This window comes from Homo sapiens, chromosome 11 (genome assembly GCF_000001405.40).
Source record: "Homo sapiens chromosome 11, GRCh38.p14 Primary Assembly".
Classification (NCBI taxonomy): Eukaryota; Metazoa; Chordata; class Mammalia; order Primates; family Hominidae; genus Homo; species Homo sapiens.
The window spans coordinates 59,636,231-59,649,248 of record NC_000011.10 but is presented as its reverse complement, the minus strand read 5'-3'; the positions used below and the strand labels follow the sequence as shown (position 1 = coordinate 59,649,248).

At 39.8% G+C, this 13,018-nt stretch overlaps 1 protein-coding gene across 1 annotated transcript in view; it reads left to right on the top strand.

Moving 5' to 3' along the window:
- The window catches only part of PATL1 (PAT1 homolog 1, processing body mRNA decay factor), a 32,322-nt gene extending 19,789 nt beyond the window's left edge, over positions 1-12,533 (top strand). The window contains exons 15-19 of the mRNA NM_152716.3: positions 1,336-1,495; positions 6,214-6,369; positions 9,866-9,957; positions 10,052-10,201; positions 10,838-12,533. Coding sequence (NP_689929.2) covers positions 1,336-1,495; positions 6,214-6,369; positions 9,866-9,957; positions 10,052-10,201; positions 10,838-10,859 — 580 coding nt within the window. The 3' untranslated portion in view covers positions 10,860-12,533. The remainder of the gene's footprint in view (positions 1-1,335; positions 1,496-6,213; positions 6,370-9,865; positions 9,958-10,051; positions 10,202-10,837) is intronic.
- Positions 12,534-13,018: the final 485 nt, after the last annotated feature.

Here is a 13,018-nt window from a genome sequence, read left to right as displayed (position 1 = left end):
TCATTCAACAAATACATAGTATCTGCTGGGGACAGTGCTAGGCACTAGAGATATAGTGGGTAACGTTATTGGGTTTTTGTGCTTACAGATTGCACCTGATTTATGATTACTAGCATGTTTAACCTTGTAATCTTTATATATTTCCTTTATTACTAAGATCAGATGTACAAACATTTATACTTCCTGGGATTTCCACAAAATATTTATATCCTATCGAAACCCTTCAGTCTTCCAATGGGGAATCCCTCACCTACCCCATTATCTGCAAAAGAATCTTGCTGATGTTAAATGTTCTGTAAATCCTGAATACTTATTCGATGTATTCAAGAGAACTACAACTTCTAACAACTCCCTTTCTTTTTACCCGTTCAAGAGAATTACTTATCCTTCTAAGCCAGGACATACACAAAACCAAACATAAGAATAAGCACTTTGTTTTCAACACACCGTGTCTGGAGTTAGGCTGACAGGGAACTGGTTAAATAAATGGTTTATCCATAGATTGGATGTTATGCAGCCATTAAAATGTATGTAGTTGAAATATATTTATTGACATGGAAATAAGTTGTTGAGTGAAAAAAGTCAAGGTACAAAACCATATGAATTATATGGGCCCATTTTTTTATGAAAGAAAAAATATATAATACAAAGCAAAATGTTGTTTAAAATGGTAACACTAATTAACTCTGAGTTGACGAATGTTTTTATTTTCTTTTTTCTTTTTTTTTTTTTTAAGCTGTTGCTGTTAACCATATGGTATTTGTGTGGTTACTTAAAAGTTAAGAGAGGAGGCCAAGCACTTTGGGAGGCTGAGGTGGGCAGATCACTTGAGGTCAAGAGTTCAGAGACCAACCTGGCCAACATGGTGAAACCCTGTCTCTAGAAAAATATAAAAATCAGCTGGTCATGGTGGCGGGCATCTATAATCCCGGCTGCTCAGGAGACTGAGGCAGGAGAATCACTTGAACCCAGGAGGTGGAGGCTGCAATGAACCAAGATAGCGCCACTGCACTCCAGCCTGGGTAACAAAGCGGGACTTCGTCTCAAAAAAAAAAAAAAAAAAGAAAAAAAGTTAAGGAAATTAGTGCATACAGTTGGCCAAGTTTTTTTTAACCATATAATTTGTGAAATGATTATTTTCTACATTTGTAAGACCTGAAAATTTACTTTTTATTTGGTTGAGATTTGGAGAAGTGATTCCTACTGTTTTATAGTACAGGTTATTAGAGAATGAAAATGAATGCAGTATATTCATTCAGTAACATCTAAGAGGAAAAAAATGAGGGTTTCTTAATTGTTCTTGCTGACCTAAGCTGGCATTTTTCTTCCTTGCAGGCCTAGTGATGACCACTTTGTACAGATCATGTGTATCCGAAAAGGGAAGAGAATGGTTGCCCGTATTCTTCCTTTCCTCTCCACAGAGCAAGCAGCTGACATTCTCATGACAACAGCCAGGAACCTCCCTTTCCTTATCAAGAAGGATGCACAAGATGAGGTGACTATGCAAGATGGGACATCTTTCTTTTGAGTCTTTATAAGTGATAAGATTTCTAGAATGCAAACTTATTTTCCTCTCCTCTTCCCTTTTGTATTTTTGTCTAATCTTTGGCTGTGTGATTTGATTATTTAAAACAAAACCTTTAGTATTTCAGGCCTATATTTTTAATCCCATATTTGATGGAACAGACTATGTTTCTAAACATGAGAAAAACAACAATTCCCTCTTACTTGACATAGTTGTAAAGATGTGGTCTGTATCAGAATTACTTGCGTAGATAATTCAACTCCACCCCAAACTGCTGAATCAGAATTTACAGAAGGATTAGGGTTTTTGTATCTTAGTCTCCAGCTGAATCTGATGTTCACTGAAGTTTGAAAACTTATAGTCTTGGTTATTTTGCTAGATATGAAGTATCATTCATTGTTCTGTTATCAGTAGCTTAACATTAGCCTGTAGACTTAGTTAAATGGTATCCCACAGCAACTGAGCTAGTCCCCTTTTGGTTTTTTTTTTTTTTTTTTTTTTGAGACAGAGTTTTGCTCTGTCACACAGGCAGTAGGGCAATGGTGTGATCTCGGCTCACTGCAGCCTCCACATCCCAGGCTCAGGTGATTCTGCCACCTCAGCCTCCTGAGTAGCTGGGACTACAGGCATGCGACACCATGCTCGGCTAATTTTTTTTTTACCTTTTGTAGAGACAGGGTTTTGCCACATTGCCCAGGCTGGTCTCAAACTCCTAGACTCGTGCAGTCCTCTTGCCTTGGCCTCCCAAAGTGCTGGGATTACAGGCTTGAGCTACTGTGTCCAGCCCGAGCCAGCCCTTTAAATAATTTTTATCATGATCTAGACTAGGCTGGAATTTTAACATGGTTATCACATGTACAAGTTAATTCTTGGTTAGAGTTTTTCTCTCCTTATCCTTGTCATAGCACACCTGAAAGATGAGCAAAATTTAGAATAGTCTTAAGAAGTTCAAAATAAGAAACTGATAAAAGTGGGACAAAGGATGAATATTAGTACAAGATTCAGAATAGTAGAATATATGGGAGTGAACCTGTTATAGACTACAAGTTGAGTAATAACGATCTAAGTAATGAGTCCCCAGAAAACACAGAATACCTTATAAATGGTATGCTATGAAAGGGAAATTATTCTTTCATAGATCCTTGAAATGTTAGCATCTGCAGAAGAAATGAATGAGAAGTTTAGGTCTCATTGAAAAAAGTGAAGTGGGTTGGGACAAGTATATATTTAAAAGATTTGGCTGGGCACAGTGGCTTACGCCTATAATCCCAACACTTTGGGAGGCTGAGGCAAGTGGATCGCTTGAGGCCAAGAGTTCAAGACCATCCTGGGCAACATGGTGAAAAACTGTCCCTACTAAAAATAGAGAAAAAAAAGAAAAAAATGAGCTGGACACAGTAGTATATGCCTGTGGTCCCAGCTACTCAAAAAAAAAAAAAAAAAAATTCCACAAATGAAAAATGAGTTAGGGAAAAGTTCCAGTATTTGAGGTTTATCCTAGAAAATAGAAGACCAGACTAAAAAAGTAACAGCTACCTTAGAGCATATAATTTGTAAGCAGTGTAATGGGCACTCATAATCCCACCAGAGCTCTTGTGTGGAAACAAGTTTGGGAGATAATTTGCTGAATACTTCTATGTGCCAGGCATTATTTTACCTCCTAGAAATACAACACCTAGTTCTAGGTGCTAAAAGATAAGAATGCAAAAATGCCTGCTTTCATGGAGCTTACCTGCTAGGAGGAAAGCTTGGCTAAATACCTAGGCTGATTTTTACCTGTATGTTTTAAGGAGTAATAAACCACATCTCTAAATACCATTTTCTTGAAGTAATAGCTGGTTCTAGGTCTGAATCATGAAATGTACAAGATATCCTGGAATATCTAGTGCCAGAAAGCAAGGAAGTTAATAGATTACTAGAGTCCTGTCTAAAGGATACACAAACCAACTTCAAGAGACTCATACTGGCCAAAAGTGGAATAATTTTCATCAGAAAGAACAGTTACAGCAGTAGATTGAAATATATCAAATATATTTAATGAGGTAATAGTGTTAAACATATATTGATCACCTTTGGAGACTACTAGGCCATCAACCCACTATTCAGAAAATTGGTAAATAAAGGAAAAGCATTTATCCTACCTTTCCATTACAACCAAATGTCATGGTAATCAGAGAGTTGATAATACAAAGTTCTTTGTAGAAGAATTTTAGCTAATAAATACAAAAGAAATGATAAAATTAGAAAATAACTGTTTTTGCAAGCCTCAACAGAGAAGCAGTCAATCTAGACAGCACTCATTACTGGCTGCTAAAAGCAGTAGGTAAAAAGTGGATGGGGGGGGAAGTGAGGGGCACCTCTGCCTGGCCGCCCCTACTGGGAAGTGAGGAGCCCCTCTGCCCTGCCACCACCCCGTCTGGGAGGTGTACCCAACAGCTCATTGAGAACGGGCCATGATGACAATGGCGGTTTTGTGGAATAGAAAGGGGGGAAAGGTGGGGAAAAGATTGAGAAATCGGATGGTTGCCGTGTCTGTGTAGAAAGAGGTAGACATGGGAGACTTTTCATTTTGTTCTGTACTAAGAAAAATTCTTCTGCCTTGGGATCCTGTTGATCTGTGACCTTACCCCCAACCCTGTGCTCTCTGAAACATGTGCTGTATCCACTCAGGGTTGAATGGATTAAAAAAAAAAAAAAAAGTGGATGGGGAACTTTACAGTGGTTGGAGCAGCCTGGCAACACCTGAACCCATTAATGAACTCTTAACACCTCTAAGAGTGGGACAACCAAGCACTGTGCTTTTTTTTTTTTTTTAAAAAAAAAAAAAAAAAAAGGAAACGAAGTCTCCCTATGTTGTCCAGGCTTGTCTCGAGCTCCTGGGCTCAAGCAGTTTTCCCATCTCTGCTTCCTAAAATGCAGGGATTACAGGCATGAGCCACCATACCTAGCTCTTCTTGGCATAATGCAATGGAAAATACACAGTTCTATCCATGACGTTTTCTCACATGTCCCTCCCACATCCTACTGAACCTGAATCAAATAAACCTGTTATTCTAACTATCTGTTTAGGAGGGAAACAGAGGATAGCAGAACCTGCTAAGTGACACTGCCAACATGCAGTTTGCCAAATTCAAACTATAGAACAAATGACCCAGTTTCTTTAACAGATAAATAACAAGAGAAAAGGGCCAGTGGCAGAAGACCTGTTAGAGAGATTTTAAAAACCTTACCAGGCAAATGCAATGTGTGGATCTTGTTTGAACCATAATTAGCACAATAATGGTTCTAATACAAAGTTCAGCTGCTAAAAGATATTTTTAAAGGCATTTGAGGGAATTTGAATTTGAAACAGATACTAGATGATATTTTAAAATTCTTTCCTGAGAAATGGTCTATGAAGAAAAATTATTGTTTATTTTGTTAGGTATGATATTGTGAGAGATTTTGTTAGAAATACAAACTGATGTATTTTGGGATGAAATGATATGATACAGAAGGAACATAGATTTAATAAGATTGGCAAAATGTTGATAATTTGGTTGATGTTGAAATTGGGTGGTGAGTACATGAATGTCATTATGCTGTTGTTTGTATTTTCATGTATGTTCTAAAATGACCATAATAAAAGCTTTTTTAATTTATAGTAGACCACAAAAAATATTTTATTCCCCATTTGCAGTTGCCATTTAAAGTAAAACCAGCCATCACTTTATACCATGTGCATTGATTGTCTGGAAGCACTCTTGATTTCCTTTGTTGTGTTATAACCTAGTTATTTATATTAATAGTTCTTTATTTTAACTTTCCAGTTGGCTACATGACAAAAAGAAATAAATGACTAGAAGGCTGGAATTCAACAGCCTTGGGTTCTGGCTCTAGCTGTGGCTATGTAACTCCAAACACTGAGTTTCTGATCACTTTATAGATTCTCTAAAAATCTATAAAAATTGGCTAATTATTTCTTTTCTTCCTCATTGAGCTTTTATAAAAATAAAAGAAAATACATTAAATCTGAAAACACTTCTTTTGAGACAGGGTGGGTCTCACCCTGTCACCCAAGCCGGAATGTGGTTGTGCAATCATAGTTCAATGTAACCTTGAACTCTTAGACTCAAGCAAACCTACCACCTCAGCCTATTGAGTAGCTGGGGACTACAGGTGAAACTTTTTTATTTGTTGTAGAGATGAGGTCTCACTACGTTGTCCAGACTAGTCTTGAACTCCTGGCCTGAAGTGATCTTCTGCTTGGCCTTTAACCTATCTTGGAGTGCTTCTCACAGTATATTGAAATGGCCAATTAACCCATATCTTCTCCGCTATACTTTAGATCCCTGAGGTTCTGTGTCCTTTTGCCATTTGTTTTTAGCCCATGGTGTAGTGTAAGCATTTAAATATTTATGGAATTAGTTAAAATATTGATGTTTTAGCATAACTCTTGGTATGTATTTGGGAGTGATTTTTTTTTACACCTTTGGTTCACACAAGTCATGGTGTTTCCAATGCAAATTGAGATGAAAAAGTTCTCAGTAGATAGCTTAGAATTCATTATTAAGACTCTAGTCATATCTGCCAGACTTGTGCCTTAAGTGGTTGAATATACAAATGAACATCCTTCCATCCATGCCCCTGGTGGGGGGTAACTGAAGTAACACGTGCCAGGATATAATGCTTTTATTTGTTTTTTGTAGGTGCTGCCATGCTTACTGAGTCCCTTCTCTCTCCTTCTCTATCATCTTCCATCAGTGAGTATCACCAGCCTTTTGCGACAGCTAATGAACCTACCTCAAAGTGCAGCTACACCAGCACTCTCCAATCCTCACCTCACTGCTGTGCTCCAGAACAAGGTGATCTTGCCCTTTTAACTCCTTGAACTTTGTGAAATGTCTTAATTTGCGTTATAGATTAAAATAATGGCTGCTGTATCTCTAGCAACTTGGGAAAAAGGCTTCTTTCAGTCAAGAGTTACATTAAGCTCCTAGTAACCGGCTAGAAATAACAGTGTTTTCAACAAAATGGGATTTTATGTGTCTAGTGTGAAATAAATTTGATTTAGTAGCTCGACAGAGTCATCAGGGATCCAGGCTTTTTCACTTTTTTTCCTCTGCCATTCTTACCAGTGGCTTCCATGTTCATTATTCCTCATGGTCCAAGATGGCTGTGGAATTCATGATTCAGCTTTACATCAAGAAGGACAGGTGGATGTGGAGGGCAAAAAGATGTGGACCAGCTGTCCATCTTCCTTATTGAGACCTTTTCCAGGAGTTCTAACCAGAAACTTCTACTTACTGTTAATAGCCAGGACATTGTCACATGGCCACACCTAAGTGCAGGGAAGGCTGGAAAATATCTTTTAGTTTATGCCATTGTCATGACACATAAGAGTTCTGATAATGGGTAGGAAGGCATATTAGGCAATTAGCAGTCTCTGTCATAACACTATGAATAGTAGAATCATCCATTTCATATTTTATTTGCATCAAGTTTAAAGATTCAGAGATTCCTAGGGGAAACATAATATGAAATAAAGAATATGAATTTTTAGTCCTTCCCTGCTACTGTCTAGCTTTGTGACCTTGGACAGATGATATCACATTGCTGAATCAGTTTCCTGGTCTATAAGATGGAGGTGATGATGTAGACTTCATAGAGTTGTCCTGGTACTTAAATGAGATAACAGTTGTAAGTGGTTCGATATAATGCCTGGTACATAGTAGTTACTCATTAAGGGCCATTCTATGTACAGTAGAGATGAAAAAGTGGTCTCAAGGCCTCTTGCTCCTTTGCACCAGAAAACCTACCAAAGCATGACTCTAAAGGTCAGTGTATCAGAGGAAGAAGAGGTGACAGTGCCTCTGGGGTTCTGGAGTGATCCGGAATGTGCCTTTCTGTTATTTGGTCTCTTAGTTTTAATTTTAGTAAAGGCAGTAGTATTTTTTTTCTGAGAATAACATGAAAAGGGATTTTTTTTTTTTAAATCAGGGTCTTCTCTGTCACCCAGGCCAGAGTGCAGTGGCAAGATCTCGGCTCACTGCAACCTCTGCCTCCTGGGCTCAAGCCATCCTCCCACCTCAGCCTCCCAAGTAGATGGGACTACAGGCACATGCCACCACGCACAACTAATTTGTGTATTTTTTGTAGAGGTGGGGTTTCGCCATGTTGTCCAGGCTGGTCTCAAACTCCTGAGCTCAAGCTATCAGCCTGCCTCGACCTCCCAAAGTGTTGGGATTACAGGTGTGAGCTACTGCAACCGGCCATGAAGGGAAATTTTGTGGAAAAGTGAGTGAGTCTAGAAAGTTGGAATGGAATCCCAAAGTACTGCCAGCCTTCCTTTTATGATCCATTTATAGGTATGAGTCATACATTTAACCTAAACCTTCTTGTCCCTATTTGTATTTTCTTTTTTGAGACAGGATCTCACTCTGTCACCCAGGCTTCAGTGCAGTGGCACAGTCACAGCTCATTGCAGCCTCAACTTTCTGTACTCAAAGCGATCCTCCCACCTCAGCCTCTTGAGTAGCATGTGCCACCATGCCTGATTGACTTTTTTTTTTTTGAGACAGAGCCTTGCTCTGTCACTCATGCTGCAGTGCAATGGCGATATCTTGTCTCACTGCAACCCCTGCCTCCCAGGTTCAAGCAGTTCTCCTGCGTCAGCCCCCAAGTAGCTGGGATTACAGGTGCCCGCCACCATACCAGGCTAATGTTTGTGTTTTTAGCAGAGACAGGGTTTTGCCATGTTGGCCAGGCTGGTCCGGGGCTCCTGACCTCACGTGATCCACCTGCCTCAGCCTCCCAAAGTGCTGGGATTACAGGTGTGAGCCACCACACCCAGCCTCCGATTGATTTTTATATTTTTTGCAGAAACAGGGTCTCACTATGTTGCTCTGGCTGGTCTCGAACTCCTGGACTCAAGCAGTACTGCCTCCACCTCCCAAAGTGCTGGAATTACAGGCATGAGCCACCATGCCCATCCCCAGCCCCCTGTTCATTTTTTTTTTTCTTTTGAGATAGAGTCTTGCTCTGTCACCCAGGCTGGAGTGCAGTGGCGCGATCGCAGCTCACTGCAAGCTCCGCCTCCTGGGTTCAAGCCATTCTCCTGCCTCAGCCTCCCGAGTAGCTGGGACTACAGGCACCCGCCACCACGCCTGGCTAATTTTTTGTATTTTTTAGTAGAGGCAGGGTTTCACCGTGTTAGCCAGGATGATCTCGATCTCCTGACCTCTTGATCCACCCGCCTTGGCCTCCCAAAGTGCTGGGATTACATGCATGAGCCACCACGCCCGTCCCATATTTTAATCCTATGCCCCAAAGACTACATTTCCTGATTTTACTGTCCACTAAATAAAACACATTTTTATATGTTACTTTTTTTTTTTTTTTTGGAGATGGAGTTTCACTCGTGTTGCCCAGGCTGGAGCGCAATGGTGCGATCTTGGCTCACTGCAACCTCCAGCTCCCGGGTTCCAACAATTCTCCTGCCTCAGCCTCCCAAGTAGCTGGGATTACAGGCATGTGCCACCGTGCCTGGCTAATTTTCTATTTTTAGTAGAGACGGAGTTTCACCATTTTGATCAGGCTGGTCTCAAACTCCTGACCTCAGGTCATCCACCCACCTTGGCCTCCCATAGTGCTGGGATTACAGGCATGAGCCACCACACCTGACCATTTTTATATATTGCATACTCTAAAGCATGTTGCTGAATTTTAATTATAGATACGGTGTATACATCTGTTTACCCTTTCTCTCTTTTTATTTTTTAGATTTTTATTAACATTCTGTCTAAGACTTTGTATTTCCAGATAGAGATGTGCTTTTTAATGGAAAGTTTCTCTTTATACCATGTTTATTTCAGTTGTGTTTATTTGTATATTTTCCTACAGTTTACACCTTGTTTCTTAATTCAAAATATCTTACTGTAATGCTTTTTTCTTATTTTTTCCTGATTTTTAATTTCTGTACCAAAATTGGTCTTCATTTACTTTCTTTTTTAGCCTATTTCTGTTCTCATAAATAGGAGAAAAGTCAAATTCTACATTATCCATGGCAAGGAAAAACCATCTTTTAACCTCAGCATGGGGAACAGAGAGGCGTGTTGGACACCATGACTTTCCGTTTCTGTTGGCTGCGCCTGGTCACTGCTATGGCAGAATAAAGCCTGGAGAGAGACATAGCCTTTCAACTCATGCTTGTCTGATCTTTACCTGGTTTTACAGAAAAGCACAGTAGTGAGGTTATTTTGATTTAGAGCTGTTCCCCATCTGATGCCAGGATCCCTTCAACAGTGGTGGAGGAGGTTTAGACACAGTGTTGAGTTTGATTCCCTCTGTCTTTTCTCGTAGTTTGGCCTGTCACTGCTCCTCATCCTCCTGAGCCGTGGTGAAGACCTACAGAGTTCAGACCCTGCTACAGAATCAACACAAAATAATCAGTGGTCAGTGTGGACTGTTTCTTCTCTTATTTTAAGTTCTTTGAGGTAATCTTTTAAATTTTTTTCTCCTGATATTATTATGGGTCTTCCCTGTCAGGACGGAGGTGATGTTCATGGCAACACGAGAACTTCTGCGGATTCCCCAAGCAGCCCTGGCCAAGCCAATCTCTATACCTACAAACCTAGTGTCCCTCTTTTCTCGCTATGTTGACCGGCAGAAACTGAACTTGCTGGAGACAAAACTGCAGTAAGTTTGAAACAGGAGAGTTTCACATCTCACTAAAGTTGGGACTTTAGAAGTTATGGTTGGGAGGCTGGGTACGGTGGCTCACACCTGTAATCCCAGCATTTTAGGACACCCAGGAGGGTGGATCACTTGAGGCCAGGAGTTCCAGACCAGCCTGACCAAAATGGTGAAACCCTGTCTCTACTAAAAAAATACGAAAATTAGCCAAGTGCGGTGGTGCATGCCTGTAATCCCAGCTATTCGGTAGGCTGAGGTATGAAAATCATTTAAACCCGGGAGACAGAGATTGCAGTGAGCTGAGATCACGCCACTGCACTCCAGCCTGGGTGACAGAGCAAGACCCTGTCTCAAAAAAAATAAATAAAAAGAAGTTATGATTGGGGTGGAGGGGGGAATAAAACTGAATTTGGTGGAAGAGATTGACTTTTTATTAACTATTTGTGTATCTGTTAGATATAAAACACTGAACTGGGTACAACAGGGCCTTCATAAAAGATGACCAAATGCTAAGGGTAGAGAAATAATCTCGGGTATTTTGTTATGAGAAGTCTTACAAAGATGTAACTGTAATATGAAAGATTGCCTTCTGTTTTAACTCATTTATACAATTTTCCTTTCTCTCCTTTGTACTCCTAGGCTAGTTCAGGGGATACGATAAAAGATCTCCAAATGTGTCCTGTACCTCCTTTTGGCTGCCACCTGCACTGCTGCCATCACCAATGGAGTGTTTTTAATGAGGGAAGGAAGGTAGCTTTTTCCCCAAAGCAAAGTCTTGTGGGATCGATTCCTGTTTACAGGGGTTGTCTCTCTAAATGTCAGATATTTCCCCACTGCTCTATGAAATTTGGCTGGGTGATACTTCTGCTGGTTTCTTTACCTTCTGTGTTACAGTTCTGCATGTCCTACTTTTACTCAGTTCTGTTTTGCATTTTCTTTGCCCTAGAGACACAAGTGTAATCTCTCCCTTTATCCCTCCACTACTCCACCTCAGAGTAGATTGTAGCCTGCCAAAGGATTCCTTCCCTCATCCTATTGAAGTTGTTTTTTCATTGCCCCATATTAATATGACTATAGAAGAGCCAATTAAGTAGAAATCAAGATATACACACACACATAGATACACACACACACACCCCATACATGTATTTATGTGGTCTTCAGAGGGTCCTTAAAGAATGAATTTTAGATTGAAAAATATTTAGTTGTCTCATTACCTCTTCTAAACACAAACCAGCTGATGTATTTTAATCTGTTTCTGTTCTATCTTGTAATTAATTTGGTGGGTTCTACTTGTTTTAACATAAATAAAGAGTATGCAGCACGTTTAATAAAATCAGAACTCTTAATTGGCTTATGCCCAGGTCTAGGCTGAGAAGTCCTTTTTCTTCTTCCCACCTTTATTTCCTTAGTTTCTGTCCACCTTAATCGAAACAACACATGGTTATGTCTTTTTCCTGCTACAACTACAGGGTACTTGAGCCTTTCCCCTCAAGTGCATTCGAAGTCACCCAGGATGATCCTCACTAGTAGCCTGCTTTGGCAGTGTGGCTTTTTGCACACTTGCCCTGTCTTCCTGAGACTACTTCAGTAAGCCATGCTTCCTTCTTCCCCACTTTTATTTGGTGTCATGAATAGAAACTTCCAAATGTAACCATGGAAGCTAAGTTTGGCCTGCTTTGCTTTTTAGTCTCCACACCATGGGCAGAACTGCTGTCTTTACTACTTCATCTCACCCAAGTCCCGTTCCCAGGCAGCCAGGGGCCTGGGTTTGAATAATTGCAGGGCCAGCCTGCCATGATCTTTCTCACTTACTCCTCTCCCATTCAGCAATCAACCAGACTAAGGAGTTTTGATCCCTAGTGATTACAGCCCTGAAGAAAATTAAATCTGAATTAATTTTACATGGCCTTCGTGATCTTTCTGCTGTTCTTACTTTTTCGAATGTAGTTGGGGGGTGGGAGGGACAGGTTATGGTATTTAAAGAGAATAAACATTTTGCACATACATGTATTGTACAACAGTAAGATCCTCTGTTAAAACCAGCTGTCCTGTTCTCCATCTCCATTTCTTCCCATGCTGTAACCCCAGGCTCCACCAGCTGTTCCCCAGTGATGTTACCTAGCTTCCCTCTACCGTTGTCTACTGACCATTTCCACTACATGCCTTTCCTACCTTCCCTTCACAACCAATCAAGTGAATACTTGATTATTATCTCTTCCTTACTGTGCTTTATCTTTTTTGTTTGGATTGGTTCTAATTAATGAAAATAAAAGTTTCTAAATTTACATTTTTATAGGGTATTGTAAATAAAAACAAATTGTATACTTAAAAATGAGTGCCTGCATTTCTACTTTGTTACCTCTGAATATGATTTTTATGTTTCTAGCATATTTAGATAGACTGTCAACTTCTTGATGTAGGGGATTAAAGATATTATTACCTATATTTTTACCTTTTTAATTTTGTTGCAAAGAAGACAAATATTTTTATATAATAACTTGTCTTTAAAAATCTAAGATGCTTTCAGTTTCTCCTCCCCCCATTTTAACTGTACGACAAAATTATAAATTGTAGTAGATAAACTGTAGTTTGTCTTCTCCATCCTGCCCATCTCTAGGCATTGAGGAATCTGTCCCCCTTTAAGAGACTCATGTAGCCCAATGAGGCATTCAGCTGCCTTCATGGATAGTATTTACTTAGTTCTGAGCATATTGTATTTCAAAACTCATCTCTTCAAAGGAGATGGGAAAAGGTTGGTCATTCTTTATAGTGAATTTATTTTTATTATTTCAGACTTGAGTATCATTTTTACTCTAA